Source organism: Homo sapiens, chromosome 17 (assembly GCF_000001405.40).
Source record: "Homo sapiens chromosome 17, GRCh38.p14 Primary Assembly".
Classification (NCBI taxonomy): domain Eukaryota; kingdom Metazoa; phylum Chordata; class Mammalia; order Primates; family Hominidae; genus Homo; species Homo sapiens.
The window spans coordinates 82,694,449-82,716,277 of NC_000017.11; the positions used below are offsets into that span (position 1 = coordinate 82,694,449).

The 21,829-nt window shown below is 57.2% G+C and overlaps 1 protein-coding gene and 2 long non-coding RNA genes across 5 annotated transcripts in view, besides 5 other annotated features; 1 reads left to right on the top strand and 2 right to left on the bottom strand.

Moving 5' to 3' along the window:
• RAB40B (RAB40B, member RAS oncogene family) overlaps window positions 1–4,250 on the bottom strand; it is a 43,726-nt gene extending 39,476 nt beyond the window's left edge. For 2 of the 3 annotated variants that reach the window (NM_006822.3, XM_047435172.1), the window contains exon 1: window positions 4,007–4,250. In NM_006822.3, the coding sequence (NP_006813.1) occupies window positions 4,007–4,148 (142 nt within the window). In that variant the 5' untranslated portion in view covers window positions 4,149–4,250. Of the gene's footprint in view, window positions 1–1,940; window positions 2,406–4,006 lie in introns of those variants that run through there. The other variant, XM_017024042.2, reaches the window with a different exon arrangement.
• Window positions 3,979–4,408: a silencer, noted in NCBI's record as "silent region_9223". NCBI's record gives its function as "represses an Ori minimal core promoter by ATAC-STARR-seq in GM12878 lymphoblastoid cells {active_cell/tissue: GM12878}" and the evidence as "EXISTENCE:reporter gene assay evidence [ECO:0000049][PMID:35858748]".
• Window positions 4,429–4,818: a silencer, noted in NCBI's record as "silent region_9224". NCBI's record gives its function as "represses an Ori minimal core promoter by ATAC-STARR-seq in GM12878 lymphoblastoid cells {active_cell/tissue: GM12878}" and the evidence as "EXISTENCE:reporter gene assay evidence [ECO:0000049][PMID:35858748]".
• Window positions 8,132–9,331: an enhancer, noted in NCBI's record as "CDK7 strongly-dependent group 2 enhancer chr17:80660456-80661655 (GRCh37/hg19 assembly coordinates)". NCBI's record gives its function as "activates an origin of replication core promoter dependent on BRD2, BRD4, P300/CBP, MED14 and CDK7 cofactors, with strong dependence on CDK7, by STARR-seq in HCT116 cells {active_cell/tissue: HCT116}" and the evidence as "EXISTENCE:reporter gene assay evidence [ECO:0000049][PMID:35650434]".
• On the top strand, window positions 8,376–9,686 carry LOC124904093 (uncharacterized). The gene is made up of 3 exons (XR_007065963.1): window positions 8,376–8,462; window positions 8,788–9,079; window positions 9,602–9,686. It is a non-coding gene; the product is annotated as an uncharacterized LOC124904093 (long non-coding RNA).
• Window positions 9,439–10,240: an enhancer, noted in NCBI's record as "H3K4me1 hESC enhancer chr17:80661763-80662564 (GRCh37/hg19 assembly coordinates)". NCBI's record gives its function as "activates a minimal SCP1, AML or CMV promoter by ChIP-STARR-seq in primed H9 embryonic stem cells {active_cell/tissue: H9 hESC(primed)}" and the evidence as "EXISTENCE:reporter gene assay evidence [ECO:0000049][PMID:30033119]".
• Window positions 18,809–19,308: an enhancer, noted in NCBI's record as "H3K4me1 hESC enhancer chr17:80671133-80671632 (GRCh37/hg19 assembly coordinates)". NCBI's record gives its function as "activates a minimal SCP1, AML or CMV promoter by ChIP-STARR-seq in naive H9 embryonic stem cells {active_cell/tissue: H9 hESC(naive)}" and the evidence as "EXISTENCE:reporter gene assay evidence [ECO:0000049][PMID:30033119]".
• On the bottom strand, window positions 19,460–21,805 carry LOC101929552 (uncharacterized). The gene is made up of 2 exons (NR_136400.1): window positions 21,119–21,805; window positions 19,460–19,668 (listed from the first exon to the last, which is right to left on the bottom strand). It is a non-coding gene; the product is annotated as an uncharacterized LOC101929552 (long non-coding RNA).
• Window positions 21,806–21,829: the final 24 nt, after the last annotated feature.

Consider the following 21,829-nt stretch of genomic DNA (forward strand, 5'->3'; position numbering starts at 1 on the left):
TTGAACCTGGGAGGTGGAGGTTGCAGTGAGGTGAGATCACACCACTGCACTCCAACCTGGGCAACAGATTGAGACTACATCTAAGAAAAAAAAAATACATACACACACACATACACACACACACCTGGAAACTCAAAGAGTACGTTCATACTAAAAGTTTAACACAAACATTCAACTCTGAGACATGGTCTGGTTAAGCAGAAGAACTATGAGACAAAAAGAAAGAATTCCTCAGAAATTCATGAAGGGAAGGACAAGCCTCCACATGGGGAAAAATCAGCTGACCTCAGGCTTCCCCACAGCACATGTGAGCCAGGGGATGGTGGAATGACAGCTGCAAAGTGTTGGGGAAGAAAATAAATCTAAGAGTATTATACCCAGCCAAGATATCTCTACATTGTTCAAAGATAAAGACCATGGGCAGACATTCTCAGACACAAAAAAACACTCAGGAAATACTCGAGTCCTTCTGAAAAAACGACTGATAATGAAATCTAGGTGATTAAGAGGGACAGCACAATGAACAGAGACATAAATGGTAAAAGGACTTTGGTGAGCACTGACTGTATTTAAATGTTGAATTGATACTAAATCATTGCGGGCACTACAGCCACAATACAGAAGCAAGGGCTATAAACCTGGACAATATAAAAATAACAGCCTGGGCTACAAAACTCAGGAGGAATTGGGTGGAGGGAAATGGAGTGTGGAGTTACGAACGCCCTCATCTTTCTTTCTTTCTTTCTTTCTTTTTTTTTTTTCGAGACAAAATCTCACTCTGTCGCTGGGCTGGAGTGCAATGGTGTGATCTCAGCTCACTTCACCCTCCACCTCCTGGGTTCCAGCGATTCTCCTGCCTCAGCCTCCCAAGTAGCTGGGATTACAGGCACGCGGCACCACGCCCAGCTAATTTTTGTATTTTTAGTAGAGATAGGGTTTCACCATGTTGACCAGGCTGGTCTCAAACTCCTGACCTCATGACCCGCCCACCTTGGCCTCCCCAAGTGCTGGGATTACAGCTGTGAGCCACTGCGCCCGGCTGCCCTCACCTTTCAATAACAAGCACCTATAGTGTTTCTCAGCGAAACATGTCATTAAAAAAAAAAAAAAACATGGCCAGGTGCTGTGGCTCAGGCCTATAATCTCAGCATTTGAGGAGGCCAAAAAAGGAGGATGGCTTGAACCCAGGAGGGTCAAGGCTGCAGTGATCTGCAATCACACCACTGCACTCCAGCCTGGGCGGCAGAGAAGACCCTGTCTCTGAAAAAATAAAAAACAAAACATAATGATCTCAACTTCTTACTATTTTTCAGAATATCTTTTCTTAACTCTAAAACAAATATTTGGTAAATCAAAAACCTGCAAGGGTACACCCGTGATATCAGTTTTTTCTACAGCAGCTCAGGCCAAGTAGACAATAAAGCTCTTGATGGGATTTTTTTTTTAAGACAGAATTTCGCTCTTGTTGCCCAGGCTGGAGTACAATGGTGCGATCTCTGCAACCTCCGCCTCCCGGGTTCAAGCAATTCTCCTGCCTCAGCCTCCCGAGTAGCTGGGATTACAGACATGTGACACCATGCTCGGCTAATTTTTGTATTTATAGTAGAGACAGGGTTTCTCCATGTTGATCAGGCTGGTCTCGAACCCCTGACCTCAGGTGATCCGCCCGCCTTGGCCTCCCAAAGCCGGGATTACAGGTGTGAGCCACCGCCCCCGGCCCGGTGGGAGGTGTATTTTTAGCCTAAATCCTCCCTCCGTGTCAAGGGAAAGCCTTTATTACAAAGCATTGGACCATTGTTTTGGTTCGTCCTCAGTTCGGCATGTAGCAACCAAAAGTCACGCAGCAGAAGCATCCCCGAGCCTCCATTCAAACCAACCAGAAGGAAGTTTCACAAACATTCTGTGCGTGACCCTTCTCACACACGCCCCACGGCACTCACCTTCAATCAAACTCAACACTGTCAACCGTCTGCTCCCCCAAAACACGCACAGCTCTTAAAGCGCCATATTCGTCTGGGCGTACACGTTGTTGGGTGCTTTATTCCTGTAGCTCTGGTAGGGTTCATCCCTCACTGAGCCCAGACCCCGAGGGCACAGTGCAGACAAAGCCCTGTCCTCCAGGCGCTCAATCTCCAGCCCTGTCCTCCAGGCGCTCAATCTCCAGCCCTGTCCTCCAGGCGCTCAATCTCCAGCCCTGTCCTCCAGGCGCTCAATCTCCAGCCCTGTCCTCCAGGCGCTCAATCTCCAGCCCTGTCCTCCAGGCGCTCAATCTCCAGCCCTGTCCTCCAGGCGCTCAATCTCCAGCCCTGTCCTCCAGGCGCTCAATCTCCAGCCCTGTCCTCCAGGCGCTCAATCTCCAGGGCAGCGCTGGCCCTCGGACTTTGCCACAGCGACATCCGAACTATCTAGAAATGTGACGAATGGAAGCTTTTTGTTTTCTTTCCTTCTAATTACACTTCCACAGCCACACGTGGCTCATGGCATCCTACTGGACACCACGGTCCTAGAGACCTGCCACCGAGCGGGGAGGGGGGTAGGACATGCGGGGGCAGCGGCGCCTGGGGACAGGTAGAGACGCAGGCTCCCCTCCTGCCCCACGGAGCACACTCTGCACCCACCAGCTGCCAGAGACTCCCCCGCATGCTGCAGTTTCAGGAGGCCTCTGGGTGCTGGTCGTGAGCCCAAGCCCATCTCAGCTGCTCCCCCAAACTCTGCCCATTCCTCACCCCGTCCCCTAAGCTGAGGTGTGGCCGGGCACCTGAGTCCCACCCCACGCTCCACAGTCTCAGGCCACCCCCTCCAGCCGTGCCACACTCCCTTGGTGCTCACGCCGCCTGCCTGGAGCTGCCCTTAGGGGACAGCCTGCACCCTCTACCGAGCAGCCTCAGATCCCGCTTCCTCCCACCCTCTCCCGCTAAGTTCGTCTCTGGCAGGACCCTGGACCTGGGGCTTCCCAGACCCTTCCCAGGCCCCAGAGCTGACAGGTCCTTCCCACCAAGACTCCATCTCCACGCCCGGCTGCCCTCCTCCGCCCAGGACTCAGAGCGGGTCTCTGTTGGAAGCGTGGGTTCAGCCCCGAGGCGCGGCAGGAAGGTGGGCACAGGCTGGGCTCCTTCCACAGCCTCAGGGTCGGCCTCGTCCAAGCTGTTCCAGGGATGCGCGTGGGTGAAGGCCCCGCCTGCTCCTCACTCCCAGCCGAGGTGTTCGCCTCTGCGCGTTCCCCCTTCTCCTGGGTTCCTGCCCCCGCCTTTCTTTCCCCGGAGCCGTCCACCCCCTCGCCGGGCGCCGGCTTTCAAGCCTCAAACTTGGGGGATCCCCGGGCTGCCTGCCTGGGAGCTCTGGGCGCTCCGGCCTCCCCTCGCCCTGGAACCCGCTCTCCGGCCGCTGTCGTGGGGGGTCCCCTCTTCCGCACGCGAGTCACCTGTGCTCCTTCCTCTCCCCCGGACACGCGGGACCCCTGGCCTCGGGACCGGACCCTGGTCTCCCCTCCCCTCCGACCCACGCGCAGACCCAGCACCTGGGCGCCTGCTCGCCGCGCTCCGCCCCAGGAGCCCCGGAGCTCGCGTCCCCTCCCGCCCCTCCTGCCCCGCGGCCGAACGCGCACTTGCGGACTCGAGCCCCCGCCCCGGGTCCCCACAGCAGCGGCCCCAGGTCGGGAGGAGCCCAGCGCCCGGCCCAGCCGCGGGCTCCCGCTGCGCGCAGACTGCGGAGAAGGATGGAGACTGCGCCGCGGGGCCTCGAGTGGAACTGGGGGTGCAACAGGGACGCCGCAGCACGAGGGCCAGGGCCGGGCGGAGAAAGGCCCGCCCGCGAACCGCGCTCCTCCTCAGCCCCGCGCCCCCGGACCGGGACTCCTACCCTCCCCGGCCACGCGCCCCGGCCTCTTCCCGACCCCTGCCCGGTCTCGCGTCCCCGGACCCGGACCCCCACCCGCACCCCCTCCCCAGCCCCGCGCCCCTCCCCGGCCCCGCGCCCGCACCCCGGCACGCCCTCCGCCCGCGCTCACCCGCCGGGTGGCCGTACGGGGACTCGGCCGCGCCATCCTGCAGGCTCGCCAGGATCTCGCCCTTGCCCACGTCGCTGTCGCCCACCAGCAGGAACTTGAGCAGAAAGTCGTAGGCCCGGACCGGGCTGCCCAGGGCGCTCATCGTGACGGCCCGGCGCCCCCACCCATGCCCGGCCTGCGGGGCTGAGCGCAGAGGCGGCGGCCCGGCCCCGAGAGGCGCCGCGCGGGCCCCGAGTCCTTGCTCGCCTCCGGCCCCGCCCCGCCGCCCAGCGCTGACAGCGCGCATCCCCGCCCGGCCCCGCCATTGGTGGACCGCAGTTGCTAGGGCAGCTGCGCGCTTTCACTGGCTTGGTTGTCCGTCCATCTTACTCTCGTCACCGCCTCCGGGCTGTCGCCCACCCGCCCCTCCTGAAAGGTCGCTGTCACCACAGCCAATGGAGGCCCGGAGACGGGGCAGGGGCGGAGCCAGAACAAGCAGGAGGCGGGGACTCTGCTCCCGCAGCCAATGGCGGGGCGGGGTGGGGGCGATCAGGGGGTGGGGCCGGGTGTTTACACTCTCGCGTGCGCCCGTGAGCGCCACGAACTCGCTCCCACGGTCGTCGGGTCTGCACGCCCCGAGTCGGGAGGGGCGAGGGGCGGTGCAGGGTCCCAGCGTGGGGCCTCCCCACCTGCCCACCAGGGAGACCTCGGGTGCCTGGCCGGGTGGGGCTCGGGGTCGGTCCAGTTGGCGGACGCGGCCGGAAGGCCCCCGCAGGCCGCCTCGCCGGAGGAGTCCCTGTCGCCGTAGAATCCAGGCTCGCGGTCTCTCCCCACGGTTCATCCAGGGCCTCGTCGTTGCCCCATTTACGCGGCGTGCCTGAATGCCTGTGTGTGCACATGCGCCTGTGTACGTGTGCATGTGTTCGTGTGTGTGCATGTCTGCGTGTGCATGTGTGCCTCTGCAGATATCTGCACATGTATGTGTCTGCGTGTGCATGTGTCCCTCTGCAGGTGTCTGCACATCTATGTGTCTGCGTGTGCATGTGTCCCTCTGCAGGTGTCTGCACATGTATGTGCGTGTGCATGTGTCCCTCTGCAGATGTCTGCACATCTGTGTGTCTGCGTGTGCATGTGTGCCTCTGCAGGTGTCTGCACATGTATGTGCGTGTGCATGTGTGCCTTTGCAGGCATCTTTGCATGTGTGTGTCTGCGTGTGCTGCTTCTATGCATGCGCTCCTATGTGTGCGTGCGCTTGTTTGTGCATCCATGCATGTGTTTGCGTGCGTGCTGGAGGAGAGCATTGGGTGGGACCCTCCAGCCTTTTGGCTTCTCCTCTGCTCTAGAGAGCAAGGGTTGCCAGGCCGAGGTCTGCCCTTCGCTCTGAGGGTCTCACCAGGTGCACATTGGTTTATTTGGTGCAGAATTCAGGCAGCAGGCAAAGGGCGAGCTCCGTCCAAGAAGAAGGATAATGCCCCCACTACTTCATCCCCTCCACCCTGCGTTGTGTAGGGAACTGCTCTAGACCCCATTAGAAGTTTTTTGTGGGGGAGGAACAGAAGAGGGAGCGGAAGAAGAATTACAAAAGAGACTGAAGTCAAGATTATTATATTTGTCATTTGCATTCATTTGGACCTAGAAAATGTTTACTTTGGAATGCCAATTTAGTTTGCAACACCTGTTATTCATTGGTTGATTAGTTGCTTTAGTTACTAATGCAGCCACATTTTTTTTTTTTTGAGACAGAGTCTTGCTCTGTTGCCCAGGCTGGAGTGCAGTGATGTAATCTTGGCTCACTGCAACTTCCACCTCCTGGATTCAAGCCTCCCAAGTAGCTAGGATTACAGGCATGTGCCACCACACCCAGCTAATTTTTGCATTTTTAGTAGAGATGGGATTTTGCCATGTTGGCCAGGCTGGTCTTTGACTCCTGACCTCAAGTGATCGACCTCGGCCTCCCAAAATGCTGGGATTGCAGCACTGTTTTTTTTTAGAAGGAAGGTCAGAGGAAGAAAAGAGGATGGAAGGTGGACGCTAGAAAACTATGAGAAAGATGGCATTTAGTCCCCAGCCCCACCACTCTGCCAAAAAGAATTCAGGGGAGTTTCCTTCCCATCCCTAACCCTCAGTCTCCATGTTCCAATCAGCTGTGGGTCACATGGCTATTACCTAGTGAGGAAAGGGTACCTTCTTTTGCTCGCTCCCCACCTACACATCCAGACTCACTGTACAATAGGGGTCAGGAGGCCCCCAGCCCACCCTCGGGGTCACACCCAGCAGTCCAGCAGTGTTCACGGTGGGGCATGGAGAGGGGTGGCCAGACCACTTCCTACAGAGGACAGGTGATGGGGGAGCCCTTGTCTGCTCTTCTCCTGCCCCACAGAAGGTCCTCACCACCTCCTAGTTGTCACCTCCAAGCTGGCCTTGGCTGAGCTGGAACATGGCCACTCCCACCTGGAGGGCCAGGTAAAATAACCACGTCAGAAGAGGGCTGTGTTCAGATATGGTGTCCATCTTCTTGCCCCAAACATTGCTTTCACCAAACAGAGGTGTTTATTTCTACAGCCAAAGCAGGTTTCCTCCCACCAGGGCCCCCAGTTTCCTGAGGGACAGTCCTGTGGTGGGATACCTCTTCCTCCTCCCCAGTTTCAGTACATGTGTAAAGTCCAGGCAGAGGGTGGAGGTGTCTGGACAGCACTAGCCTACCTTCTGCCCAACTCAGAGCCAGGCTTCCAGACCTGTCCATCTCGGATCATCGGAACATTCCTCCCTGTGGCCACGCTGAAATCTCCTTGAACATCCACCCACCCATGATCTGGGGCTGCTCTGGAGACTAGGCCTCTGTGGGCAGAAGGAATGAAAGGAACATTTACTGATGCTTCTCCACGAGTAAAATGTCATCAGAAGGTGGAGGTGAGGCCGGGCGTGGTGGCTCATGCTTGTAATCCCAGCACTTTGGGAAGCCAAGGTGGGTGGATCACTTGAGGTCAGGAGTTCGAGACCAGCCTGGTTAACGTAGCAAAACCCCATCTCTACTAAAAATACAAAAATTAGCTGAGCACGGTGGCGCTAGCCTGTAGTCCCAGCTACTCAGGAGGCTGAGGCAGGAGAATTGCTTGAACCCAGGAGGCAGAGGTTGTAGTGAGCCGCTGTCACACCACTGGACTCCGGCCTGGGCAACAGAGTGAGATGCTATCTTAAAAAAAAAAAAAAAAAGGCCGGGCGCGGTGGCTCAAGCCTGTAATCCCAGCACTTTGGGAGGCCAAGGCGGGTGGATCACGAGTTCAGGAGATCGAGACTATCCTGGCTAACACGGTGAAACCCCGTCTCTACTAAAAATACAAAAAAATTAGCCGGGCGTGGTGGCAGGCGCCTGTAGTCCCAGCTATTTGGGAGTCAGAAGAATGGCGTGAAACAGGGAGGCGGAGCTTGCAGTGAGCCAAGATCGTGCCACTGCACTCCAGCTGGGGTGAGAGAGCGAGACTCCGTCTCAAAAAAAAAAAAGTCATCTTGTTTAGGCTTGTCTGCAGTCGTGAGAAAACAGGAGACAAAGGTTCACCACGTATGAAGTTTTGGTTGTCTGGGTTGAATGGAGTCCCTAAAAAGATTTATTGAAATCACACCCTCTGGAAGCTGTGACTGTGACCTTAGTTGGAAATACTTTGGTCTTTGCAGATGTAATCAGGTTAGGAGGAGGTCCGTAGGGTGGGCTCTAATCCAATAGGACCATGAAAGGGTCTCAGAGACCTGTGGGGGCCCATGGGCCCCACTGTGAAAACTGCTGCTCTGAGCCATGCCTGTGCTCCTGCCAACTCCTGCCTGTGACCATGTAGGTGTGGCCCACGAGGAGACTCCAGCAGTGAGATGTGAGGGCGTCTGCTGGGGGTTCGCAAACAGGAACGCAGACTCCAAGTCTCCTCTCAGCGTCTGGGCACTGTGGGCCCACCCACGAGCCTCCTGTCCTGTGATACAGAGCAGCTCCCTGGTGCCACCTCCAGATGGATTTTCTGTTGCTGGAAGTTAAACCAGCCTCAGTAATTCACATAATATCTATTTCAGCATTTTCCCACGGAGGGGGCACAGGGAGGGGGCATTTTTCTTTTTTCTTCTTCCAAATTTAGCTTGAAGGCTAACATGTTTTTCATTTTTAAAATAGTTCCGTCTGTGATGTGCAAACAGTGGAAATGCAACTTGAACCAGCCTAAGCACGATGTCGATTTTATGGAAGGATGGTTGGGAGTGTCTCCTGTGAGCTGGGAAGGGCTGACCGGCTGTGCTGTGGGAAGGGCCAGGTGTGGCCGGCCTGGAAGTAGCTGAGCCAGGGACCCAGTGCCGGCGAGGCCGGCCCACCTGCCGCCTTTGTTCCTCCCACGGTGCCCGCTGGTCTTCCTGTCGCTGCAGAGGGGCTCCCTCCTCACAGGAGAAAACATGGCCCCCAGGTTTCACCCCTTGGAGAGAGAACGGCCTCACTCACTCTCAGGTCTGATCCCCAAATTCCCATATAAGGGAATTCCCCAGTGGGGATCAGTGCCCACCTCCGGGTGAATCAACTACATTGGGGGTCTCATCATGCTTGGGGCCCCGCATCTCTGCATCTTAGTGCGTCCTCTGAGCGCACGGAACTGAAACCCCAGCAGATGACGCAGCTTCCAGCCGGGAGGGCCAGCGGGGGCAGAGGCAACAAGGTCACAGCTGGATGAGGCTGGTGGGCGAGGCAGAGGCCGTCGCCAGGCCCCTCTCTGCTCTCCCCTGCACTACGGGACCCCTGCACCGCTGCCCCTCACACAGTCCCCTCTTCCCTTCAGAAGCAGAGCCCCCCGCCAGTGGTTCCCACGCTGGAGCAGGGCACAGCGGCCACACCCAGAGGCTCCCATTCAGCACTGGGGGCCCAGGAATCTGCATTTGCAACGTGGTTACAGATGGTGGTGATGCTACAGCTCCAGGAACCCCACTTTGAGAACTAAGTGGGAGGGGATCTCTCCAAACATGGCTGCACCAGCGCCCACCCCCGACGGGAGACAGCACGTGCCTTCCGAGTGCTCATAGGGGAAGCCTGCGTCCGCCTTCCAGCCCTGTGGTCTCTGGTCTTCCCAGCGGGTGAGGGCCCCGGGCACTGGCTCTGCCCTTTGGGCACAGCAGGGAGGGTTCGGGGATGGCTGCTGGCCGTGGCTGGGACATAAGAGACCCAGGATGAGTGCTTGGGGCGCTTCTCCATCCACCCTTGAGACCCCTCAGGCCCCACCTTATTGTCTCACCTGACTCCCCCCAAACCCCACCTCAAACCTGACCCCCACCTGACCCTCACCTCAAACCTGACCCCCGCTCAACCCCCACCTCTCACCATACCTCTCACCCAACCCCCACCCAACTCCCACCTCTCACTCGACCCCCACCTCTCACCCAACCCCCACTCGACCCCCACCCAACCCTCACCTGACCTCTTCACACCCCCACCTCAAACCTGACCCCCACCTCTCACTCTATCCTCACCCCTCACCTGACCCCACCCGACCTGCACCTCCAACCTGACTCTCACCCAATCCTCCACTCTTATCCGACCCCCACCTGACCCCTACCCAACCCTCACCTGACCTCTTCACACCCCCACCTCTACTGCAGTCCGGCGGAGCCCACGTGCCCTACTCACACTGGCTGCGCCTCCTGGCACCGCTGAGCTCATGGCCCTGTTGTGTTCTGCTCCTGCCCCATGTGAGGGCACAGCCCACGTCTGCTCTTCTCAGCTGTTTTGCTGAGGACACCAGACGATGTGTTTCTGGAATACTCCATGCCACTCCAGCACCTGAAAAAACCAGGCCCCCGTTTTGCACGTGCGTGGCCCTTCTCACTGGGTCAGCGCCCCTGGGTCCTTCAGGACTCCACCCGGGGGTCGACAGCTCCGGCAGGAAGCCCCTCTGCCCTGGTCCCATCAGAACCATCAGTGGACACACCTGTCGCCTCCAGGGCGGGGCTGACCACAGGGCAATGCTGCCACACCTCCCCGGGGAGTGAACTTTGACTTCTCCTCCACACTGACTGTGCAGCCCTGGAAGGTTTGTAGTGAACTTGTAGAAAACGGAAAACGTGACCCTGCCTGGCCCAGCGGTTTTGGTCCTGTGGACCCAGCAGCCTGGCGTCTGACTTAGCAATTCTGTGTCACTGCTGCTTCCACCGGCTGCAGAATCGGGGCTTTCAGGAACGTCTCCAGCCAGCTCCTGAGTCTTTCCGGGCCCCCCACTCATGACCCGGGTGAACCTAACGTGCGTTCACCTCCCATTTATGTGAGGGTGACGTTCTAACAACTTGAGACCACGACCATGCCCAGGGGAGTGTGGGCTCTCTGCAGGCATCCGGCGCGTTTCCAGACACAGCTGAGGCCGGACGTGCTGGGTCAGTGAGGGCTGAGATGTGCAGCCTCGGGCCTTTCCTGGGACACTCCCCCGACCCTGCCTGTCATCCCGACATGCCCCTCAGCATTCCTACACTCATAGGAATGAGTCCTGCACTCATAGGAAATGGGGGGCTCAGGCAGGTGGGTGGTCTGTCCTCAGGACAACCCAAATCCCCGACCCAAACCTCTTCACTCCCGTCTCGTGCTCACCACCGTGCAGCCTCTTAATGAACCACCTCCCACCCCTCGGAGCCAGGCAGGGCGCGCTGTGCATGGGGATGGGTCTGAGCTGGTCTTGAGTCGGTGGAACCCTGGAAGAAGTGGCTCCGTCATTCTCGTTGCCATGGGCCATCTGGCCCTGCAGGTGTGGATCGGGGACAGTGAGGATGCAGGACTGGTCTGCAGCTGCAGAGTCCAAAGACGGGAGCCCAAAGTCCCCATCTTCAAAGACTATCACTTTGCAGGTAGAGTTCCAGTGGATTAATCTGGGGGCACACAAACATTTGGTCCATAAAAGACTATCACTTTGCAGGTACAGTTCCAGTAGATTAATCTGGGGGCACACAAACATTTGGTCCACAATAGGGCCCATGGTGGGGGGGGGACCTGGGCACCACCGAGGGTGGAAGCAAGTTGTGGAATGTGGAGCCCACCCCATTAGAGCCTGGGCAGGGAGGTGGGTGCGGCTGTCCCTCGGCCTCTGGTCCAGGGGCCCTTGGATGGCCCTCAGCACTAAGCGAGGGTGTCTCCAACCCAGCCCGTGGATGCGTGGGGCCGAGGGTTCTTGGTTGGGGTGCACCTGAGCACTGTGGGGTGTTGGGCAGTGTCCTGGCCCCCGTACGTTAGATGCCAGCAACACTGCCACCTCCTACAACAATCAGAAATGCTCCCAGAATTGTCAAAGTGGGGGGTGCTGCCCTTCCCAACAGTTGAAGAGCACTGGTTGACAGAAATTTGATTTCCATGTGGCAGCCTCTCTCCCGAGAGCCTCATCCTGTCCCCACACTGCAAGGCGTGTTCCCAAGGTTGGGCTCCGTCCTGGTGGCTCCCGCCGGCATCTCCTGGGCAGCTGTGACTGCTGTGTCCACCGGGCCGGGGTGTCTGCCGTAGCCCAGCATGCAGTGGAGAGGATGGCCACGGGGACAGCGGGGCTGGGGGCAAGGGAGGATCCAGAAGCATCCGGCCTGGGGCCGACGGGTAGTGACCATCTCAGGGCATCCGAGGTTCACCCACGTTCGCCTCCCAGAAACCCTGAGAGGTGGAGGTTATCATTCCTGCTGCTGCCTGAGGAAACAGGGACTCAGAGAAACCGTGCTGGTCACTGTCCTGCCTCGGCCTCCCTCGCTGGAGCTGGTCAGCACTGCAGCGCAGCCCCAGCCTTGTTTGGTTTTTATTTTATTTTATTTATTTTGAGATGGAGTCTCGCTCTGTCTCCCAGGCTGGAGTGCAATGGCGCGATCTCGGCCCACCGCAACCTCTGCCTCCTGTGTTCAAGTGATTCTCCTGCCTCGGCCTCCCAAGTAGCTGGGATTACAGGCATGAGCCACCACACCCGGCTAATTTTTGTATTTTTAGTAGAGACAGGTTTTCTCTGTGTTGGCCAGGCTGGTCTCGAACTCCTGACCTCAAGTGATCTACCTGCCTTGGCTTGCCAAAGTGCCGGGATTACAGGCATGAGCCACTGTGCCCGGCCTGTTTGGATCTTTAAATGGTGGTAAAATGTAGGCGACATGAAACTTACTATCACCCTTTTCCAGTGCAGCGTCCAGGGGCATCAAGCACATTCACACCGCGGCGCAGCCGTCACCACCCTCCATCTCCAGGTCTTCTCCATCTCCCCAGACAGAACCTCGGTCCCACCAAATGTCAGCTCTCCGTCCTCCCCTGACCCCTACAACATCATTTACGTCCTGTCTCTACAGATTTGACAACTCTAGGGACCTCGTATAAGTGGAATGACACAGTATTGTCTTTCTGTGGCTGGCTTATTTCACTGAGCATAATGCCCTCCAGTTTCATCCGTGTTGTAGCGTGCGTCAGAAGCGCCTACGTTTTAGGGCTGGGCGCAGTGGCTCAGGCCTGGAATCTCAGCGCTTTGGGAGGCCAAAGTGGGCAGATCACTTGAAGTCAGGAGTTCAAGCCCATCCTGGCCAACATGGTGAAACCCCATCTCTACTAAAAATACAAAAATTAGCTGGGTGTGGTGGCTCATGCCTGTAATCCCAGCTACTCCGGAGGCCGAGGCAGGAGAATCACTTGAACACAGAAGGCAGAGGTTGCAGTGGGCCGAGATCACGCCATTGCACTCCAGCCTGGGAGACAGAACAGGACTCTGTCTCAAAAAAAAAAAAAAAAAGAAGAAGGACTCCCTTTTTTTTTTTTTTTTTTTTTTGAGACGGAGTCTCGCTCTGTTGCCCAGGCTGGAGTGCAATGGCACAATCTTGACTCACTACAGCCTCCATCTCTCGAGTTCAAGAGATTCTCCTGCCTCAGCTTCCCAAGTAGCTGGGATTACAGGCACGTGCCACCATGCCCTGATAATTTTTTGTAATTATTTTTTCTTTCTTTCTTTTTTTTCTTTTTTGAGACGGAGTCTCGCTCTGTCACTCAGGCTGGAGTGCAGTGGCGTGATCTTGGCTCACTGCAACCTCTGCCTCCCGGGTTCAAGTGATTCTCCTGCCTCAGCCTCCCGAGTAGCTGGGATTACAGGAACGTGCTACCAGGCCGGGCTAATTTTTGTATTTTTAGTAGAGACAGGGTTTCGTCATCTTGGCCAGGCTGATCTCAAACTCCTGACATCATGATCCACCTGCCTCGGCCTCCCAAAGTGCTGGGATGGCAGGCATGAACCACTGTGCTCGGCCCTGGCTGAATAATATCATTGTATGGAAATGCCGCATGGTGTCCATCCGTTCTTTCCTTGATGGACACTTGAGTGGCTTCGTCTCTTGGCCACTGTAGGTTGAGCTGCTGTGAACACTGTATACGAGCCTCTGCGTGGATGTGTGTTTGAATTTCTCCTGGGCATATACGTAGGAGTAGAATTGCTGGATCATGCGGTAGCTCTCCGTTCGATGGTTTGAGGAACTGCCAGACGTGGGTTGTGTTTTTGCAGCAAGAACTCATTCTGCAGTTTGCCCTGCAGTGGGTGTTTTGCCGCATCAGTCGGCGGTCTCTGGCCTACAGCATGGTTGTGGGGCTTGGGGGGCCCTGCTGTGGTAGGTGGAGGCAAGGAGGAACACCTGCCACCTCTAGGCAATACACAAGGAATTTTTTTACATAATGTGACATTTTTATACCATCGGACTATTGGAAAGCATTTCTTTCTTAAGTTTCATTCTCTGATGCCTAGACAAAAATAGACTGAGGAACTGTAAAAAGACACTGACCATATTTCCCTGAAAGCCAGGCACTTGAGCATTGCAATTAACTCTTCTTTTTTCTCTCCTCTGCTGTCAAGAAGTAAATAGAAACTAACAGCTGAGCAGTTTGGATGTATGTTAGCTGATGACTCACGAAGCATTCACAGCCAGGGGGCCAGCTGCTCTTCTGCTATAGAAAGAAAACCTATTTTGGCCGGGCGCGGTGATTCACGCCTGTCATCCGAGCACTTTGGGAGGCCGAGGCGGGTGGATCACGAGGTCAGGAGTTCAAGACCAGCCTGGCCAAGATGGTGAAACCCCGTCTCTACTAAAAATACAAAAATTATCCGGCCGTGGTGGCAGGTGCCTGTATTTCCAGCTACTCGGGAGGCTGAGGCATGAGAATCGCTCGAACCCAGGGGGCAGAGGTTGCAGTGAGCCAAGATCGCACCACTGCACTCCAGCCTGGGCGACAGAGGAAGACTCTGTCTCAAAAAAAAAAAAAAAAGAAAAGAAAAGAAAGAAAGAAAACGTATCTTAAGCAAAACTGTAACCTCATGGATGGCCCAGATGTACCAGAGCCCTGAAGACAAAACCCATTTTCACACAGGGCTCCCGCCACAGCCCCGCCCATGGCCCCACCCACTGCTGCCATGCCCTGCCCCCTTACCACCAGCCCCACCCACTGCCCCCGTGCCCTGCCCCCTTACCACCTGCCCCACCCACTGCCCCCGTGCCCTGCCCCCTTACCACCAGCCCCACCCACTGCCCCCGTGCCCTGCCCCCTTGCCACCTGCCCTGCCCACTGCCCCCATGCCCTGCCCCCTTACCACCAGCCCCACCCACTGCCCCCGTGCCCTGCCCCCTTACCACCCATCCTGCCTACTGCCAAGTTCCCTCTCCCCTTACCACCCACCCAACCCACTGCCCCCATGCCCTCCCCCTGCTCCATCCCCCACTCCATCCACTGCCCTGGTGTTCCACCCCCTGTCTCCTGCCCCCATGCCAGGTCCCTGCTCCACCCACCCTGCCCACTGACCCTCATGCCCCACCCCCTGTACAACCCCTGACCCCACCCACTGCCCCCATGCCCCACCCCCTGTACCATGCCTCACCCCACTGACCCCGCATTCCACCCTCTGCCCCCATGACCCACCCCTGCCCCCGTGTTCCACCCCTGTCCCCTGCCCCCCCACCGTGCCCACCCCCTGCTCCACCTGCCCCACCCACTGCTTCACTCATCCCGCCCACTGCCCCCATGCCTGCCCTCTGCTCCACCCATTCCACCTCTGCTCTCCTGCCATGCTCTCCCGGTCCCTCTCTGCACACCCTACCCGCACCTGCTCATCCCCACCCTCAGCAGCCGGAGCTGTAGCTGCTGGACAGGTAGGGGAGGTCTGGGTGGGCCCGGGTGAGCCCATGGGAAGTGTGAGGGACCAAGGAGACCCCTCAGGTGTGTGTTCACAGATCCCAGGGTGATGAGGCTCCAACAGCCCAGGAGGGCGTGTCCTGCATGGCCGGAGGAGCTGGGGGTGAGGACTGGGGTGGACAGGGCCTCACACAAGGCTGGACACAGATCCCCTTGGCCTGTACCTGGGGAGGGTAGCGCTGATCCCTGGGCAGGCTGTGGCTCGGGCCTCCGCAGCTCCACATGGCTGCTGCCTGTCCTGGACCCCAGGCATCCACACCGCAGGCTAGCTGTTCTCCAGCCTCCAAGGCTCAGACCCTGGGTGTACACACCACACTCCAGTGGACACTTGGAGTGTCCAGCCTCTAAGGCTTGTGTCCTTGTGTTCTTGCCCCACCTCCTGCCGGGTTTCTGCCCCTGATGGTTCACACCAGGCGGACCCGAGTAGAGAAGACGGGATGGGTCTGGGCTCACATGGGTGCGCTATCGTTTCTGTTCTGGAAAGTTCCAGCAGGACCTCACCACCCCGCTGTTCCCGCCTGGCTCTACAGTTCAGAGCTGCCAGGGTTCCCACTCAGGCTCTAGAGCTTGAAAACCCCTCAGTCGTCAGGGGGAGGGATGCAGGCTAAACGTACAAACTTCAATTGGAGCCGGTGCTGCAGTTGTTGGTGGCCGAAGGCCACCCGTTCTGAGCCCCGTGCCAGCTCCTAACCTGGTCACGGCCCCCGCAGCAGCCTGCATGGGCAGCCTCCCCCATGTGCCTGCTGTGGGGAGAATCTCGGGTTTTGAGTGGCTCAAGCAGGACCAGCTTCAAGGAGTGCGGGGGGAGTATTGCTCCCTGGTCTCAGCCCAGACCCCTGCCTGGGGAGGTCAGCAGCTGCGCCTGAGGGTGAGGTGGGGCTGCCAGAAGGAGCAGGACGCTGGAGGGGAGGACAAGAAGGAGGTGGACGGACAGGGACCCTTCAAAAGGTGCCACTTTTCAAAGCCAGAGCAGGCACGGCCATTCCCCAGGGTACAAGGGGGACCCATCTGCTCCTCCCAACACCACAGCAGCTTCGCTTAGGATGGAGGTGACGCCGCAGGCTGGTGGGAAGAGATGGCCCCAGGTCCCTGCAGAGGCTCCACCGGCTGCGGGCAGCCCTGAGGCGGCCAGACCCCACACAGGCCGACAGGAGCCACGTGGAGGACACAAAGGCTCCTGCCGGCTCAGCTACGCCCCCTAGTTAGGGCTGACCCCCTCTTGGGAACACCTGTTTCTGTCCGTTCGTGTCTTTAATCCACGTCCCACCTGGCGAGTGTTGTGGGCTTCATTTTGCATACTTGGAGGTCAGAGGGAGTGAGAAATTTGGCTGGGGTGGAATCCTGACTCCACTCCTCCCAGCCGGGTTGCCAAGTGGTTTGGGCAGCAGGGCCCCCTCTGGGCCTCAGTTTCCCCGTGTCTCGAGTGGGAGCGGCTCCTTGCACCTGTGAGGTGTTTACCGCTGCCAGCGTAGGTGCTGCCCAGTTATATCAGTTGACATCGGCTGTTGGGTGGAGCCTCAGTTCTGCGCCCGTTACCCTCCAACACCCAGGGTGTGCGCATTACCCAAGCCCGCAGAGTTTTGTTTAATTTTTGGTGATTGCAGCACGGTAGCCAAACTCATCCTACTCATTAGCATATCCTGGGCATCTCAGGGAGCCACAAGAGGAAAATGTGCCACAAGTTCCACGACCACCCTGGGCCATCCTGGGCACAGCAGACACTATTTTTTTTTTTTTTTTGAGACAGACTCTCGCTCTGTCACCCAGGCTGGAGTGTAGTGGTGCAATCTCAGCTCACTACAACCTCCACCTTCCGGGTTCAGGTGATTCTCCTGCCTCAGCCTCCTGAGTAGCTGGGACTATAGGTGCCCGCCACCACACCCAGCTACTTTTTATATTTTTAGTAGAGACAGGGTTTCGCCATGTTGGCCAGGCTGGTCTCGAACTCCTGACCTCAGGTGATCTGCCCACCTCGGCCTCCCAAACTGCTGGGATTACAGGCACAAGCCACTGCACCTGGCTGGCAGACACTTTCTGAGTGCACCAGGCTCTGCGGCGGTGTCGTGGGGGCGCCGGGCTCTGGGTGGGGGCACCAGGCTCGGTGGCAATGTCACGGGATCCTTGGGGTGTTGCTTCGCCAGCTGGAAACCTCTGTGGCCAGTCGCACCTTTGCCCAAGTTTTTACTCAGGCCCACTGGGCTCATTCAGTGCACTTGGCCTGACAGGCTGTGCTCAGCTCATGCTACTGGTATGAATCTCACACCTGCCAGGCATGGAGTGGCGAGGGGTGTGTGAGGGAGAAATCGTGAGGTCTGGCCACTGCGCACAGCCAGGCACACCGGCTATGGTAGAGCGGGCCATTTCGGGTGCCACTGGGGGCGCTGGCTCCCTGCGAGGCTGCAGCTGGACCAGGTGCACCATGAGCAGGTTCCATGGCTGGCACGGGGGAATGCAGGGGCACCCAGAAACTTGGAGACGCCGGGAGCCGCAGAGCCTCAGAGACGGTGTCGCAGGCCTGGCTGGGGAGGTCTTAGGTCTGGGCTTCCCGAAGGGACACAGCTCTTCTCTCCCTCTCTCTTCTCTCCTTCTTGTCACTCACAACATTGTTAGCAAGGGACGTGTTTCAGCCCTGTTTGTGTGACAGCTCTTTTAGCCCTGCCATTTGGCAGGTCACGAGTTCTTGTCTTGCATCCAGGAAGAATGAGGTATGGGCACAAGTAGAGGGTGAGCAAGGCCAGCAGGAAATTTACTGAGCAACAGAACAGCTCAGAGGAGACTCGCAGTGGGTAGCTCCTCCCCGCAGGCAGGGCATCCCAGCTAGCGTTCAGCTCTCAGAAGAGAGGAGACCCTGGAATGGGTAGTTCCTCTCTGCAGCTGGCAGTCCCAATGTCTGCTCAGCTCTCAGCAGAGAGGGGAGCCTGGAGCAGGTAGCTCCTCTCTGCAGCTGGTAGTTCCAGCATCTGCTCAGCTCTCAGCGGAGGGGGGACCCTGGAGTGGGTAGCTCCTCTCTGCAGGCAGGTCATCCTGTCATCTCCTCAAATCTGGCTGAGTCTGGGGTTTTCATAGGCTTCAGAGGGGAGGAAGTGCATGCTGACTGGTTCATGGGCGGCCATGGGTGGGCCTGGACAAAGCACTATAAGTTCCCATTCTGGTCCCTCAGCCCAGCTCCCAGGCTTCAGGCCATCCCTGGCTTCAGGGTGGGCCTTCACTGTGGACCTGCCCCTTTCCACCCAAGAGCCTCTCTGCCTCCTGCCGTCATCTATGGCGTCCAGGCTGATTGTGCCAAGGAGCTGCCCTCAGCCCCTTCTCAGCCATGGTTGGGAAGCTGCACCTGCACCCAGGAGGATGGGGTTCCTGCCCACTCCCACCCCCAAGAGCAAAGGAATGCGCAGATCTGGAACCATGGCTGGGCAGCTGCCACTGAACCTGGGGAGCACAAGGCTCTCTCCCTGCTGGCTTGGAAGGTGGGTGGCTTCTGCCTGTTCCTGGCTCCCACCAGCTCCGTGGAGCACGCAGCCCCGGCGCCACCTCCCCACTGCTGCTGGTGTCATGACAGTGACTGCTCCAGACAGGCCGCCGCCATCTGTGCGTGTCACATATCTATGCAGAGACTGCTGCAGACAGGCCGCCGCCATCTGTGGGCGTCGCATGCCCATGCAGAGACTGCTCCAGACAGGCCGCCGCCATCTGTGGGCGTCGCATGCCCACGCAGTGACTGCTCCAGACGGGCCGCCGCCATCTGTGGGCGTCGCGTGCCCACGCAGAGACTGCTCCGGACTGGCCGCCGCCATCTGTGGGCGTCGCATGTCTATACAGAGACTGCTCCAGACTGGCCGCCGCCATCTGTGGGTGTCGCATGTCTATGTAGTGACTGCTCCAGACAGGCTGCTGCCGCCATCTGTGGGTGCCACATGCAGAGTGACCCAGGGGCTTGCCACAAGGGGGACAGTCAGGCAGGGACTCTGTGTGCACATGCATCCAAGCACAAGGCAGGTGTGGGCAGAGAAGCGAGTTGGAGCCATCCTCAGGAGGAGTGAATTACTGGGGATGTTGACCTTGGGACACCAGGAAGAGAATCTCATTTGCAGAGGAGGAAAACGCTGCTGGAACGGAAAGTCTGAGAAAGACAGCAAGAGCAGGACAGAGCAAAGCAGGACGCGGGAGTGAAGGCCTGCAGTGTGGGTGCGTGTGCAAGACCCAGAAACGCGCAGATGTGTGGGGCCAGCAACACCACGGCCACATCCTCAGCCACAGAACAACACACAACATCTCAAGGATGAACTCATCAACGCACCAACGGTTAGTCTCTTATCTAATAAATAAAGCATATCCCGGTTACAAATAATCAACACAGATGTTTCAATGATCTTGAGTAGAAAGTTGAGAGCTTGTCATTTGAGTCAGGAAATGGGACTCCGCGGAAATGATGGCCTTGAGAGAGCCCTCATGTGTTCTTTGTGCAGTCGGCAATTCCATGTAGACAGGAAAAATGGACTGAAAACTTAAACTGATATGATGAAGATAATATCATTCAATTGAAAATGAAAATGGAAAAAGTCATTTATAAACCATTTGAATGGACAAAAAAGAAAATTGGTTAGGAATTAAATTAGCTAGATGAAAGTCACTTTTTTTCTTTTTTGCTTTTTTTTTTGAGATGGAGTCTCACACTCTATTACCCAGGCTGGAGTGCAGTGGTGCGATCTCGGCTCACTGCAACCTCCGCCTCCCGGGTTCAAGCGATTCTCCCGCCTCAGCCTCCTGAGTAGCTGGGATTACAGGCGTGAGCCACAGTGCCTGGCCAAAAGTCACTCTTTTTTTTTTTTTTTTTTTTTTTGAGACGGAGTCTCGCTCTGTTGCCAGGCTGGAGTGCAATGGAGAGCAGTGGTGCGATCTCGGCTCACTGCAAGCTCCGCCTCCCGGGTTCACGCCATTCTCCTGCCTCAGCCTCCCGAGTAGCTGGGACTACAGGCGCCTGCCACCACGTGTGGCTAATTTTTTTGTGTGTGTGTGTTTTTAGTAGAAACAGGATTTCACCGAATAAGCCAAGACGGTCTCGATCTCCTGACCTTGTGACCCACCTGCCTCGGCCTCCCAAAGTGCTGGGATTTCAGGCGTGAGCCACCGCACCCGGCCCAAAAGTCACTCCTAAAAATGCTTTCTCGGCCGGGCACAGTGGCTCATGCCTGTAATCCCAGCACTTTGGGAGGCCAAGGCAGGCAGATCGCCTGAGGTCAGGAGTTTGAGACCAGCCTGGCCAACATGGCAAAACCCCATCTCCACAAAAACACAAAAATTAGCCAGTCATGGTGGTGTGCGCCTGTAATCCCAGCTACTCAGGAGGCTAAGGCAGGAGAATCGCTTGAACCTGGGAGGCAGAGGTTGCAGTGAGCTGAGATTGCACCACTGCACTCCCGCCTGGGCGACAGAGCAAGACTCCATCTCAAAAAAAAAAAAAAAAAAGTTTCTCAACAAAAACTTAACGGTGGCATAGTTCTGATGAAAATCTTCATGTTCATGGCATGGAGTTAAAATGTCCAAACGGTCAAGGCCACAGATTAAAACAGGGACATCCGCAGGCCCTGGCCCGAGGGGAGGAGCATACAGGGAGTGGTTCACCCACTCCACCGCCTTTGGAGCACCTTTTAATTCTCTCACTCTTCTCTAATGTGTTCCTTGATTTATCTATTACCATCTGCGGATTTTCATCTGTTCTTTTTTGCCTTTTTTTTTTTTGAGACGGAGTTTTGCTCTTGTCACCCAGGCTGGAGTGCAATGGCGGGATCTCAGCTCACTGCAACCTCCGCCTCCCGGGTTCAAGCGATTCTCCTGCCTCAGCCTCCCGAGTATCTGGGATTACAAGCGCCCGCCACCACGCCCCGCTAATCTTTTTTGCTTTTTAAAATTATGAAATGCGGTATACACACAGAAAAGTGCGTGAACACACACATATGTACCATTTAATAGATAGTTATAAAATGATCCGCCCGCCTCAGCCTCCCAAAGTGCTGGGATTACAGGCGTGAGCCACCGCTTCCGGCCTCAGGAGAGGATTCGTGTTTGCTTCTCCCAACGTCCAGGGAAGCGACATTTCCTATTTGCTTTAGACTAAAATCTATACTTGAATTTTTTGTTTACTGTAGGTAATATTAACTAGGGTTGCAGTCCGTGGAGGGCCGACTATGCGAACGGTTTCTATGAACCATCCTTTGCTGAAGGCTGAAACCTCTTCGTCCCCTGGGAGAGTTCCTATTCAGGCCTTCTTGTAGTTAGTTCATCCTTGTGTTGACAGCTGTATTAGGGTTCTCCAGAGAGACGGATCCAGTAGGATATAGACGTAGATCCAGGACAGGAGATGGACTGGGGGAGCTGGCGTTTGCAATTACGGAGGCCGAGAAGTCTGTGAGCCGGAGACCCCGGGACTCGGGTAGCCGGGCTCAGCCCAGGTCGGAAGGCCTCAGAAGCGGGGAAGCGGATGGTGTGGCCCTCAGCACGACCCACCCCAAATCATGCCTTGCCAGGTTTCTGGGAATTCCTGGTCCAGCCCAGCTGGCACCTGACACTGGCCGTAACGGCAGGGCCACTGTTAGCTGTTAGCCTCAGGGCCCCAGGTTTAGGGGCGGTGTCTCCGTTGCACGTGCACCCCGAGCGCGCCCGCCACTCCCCAC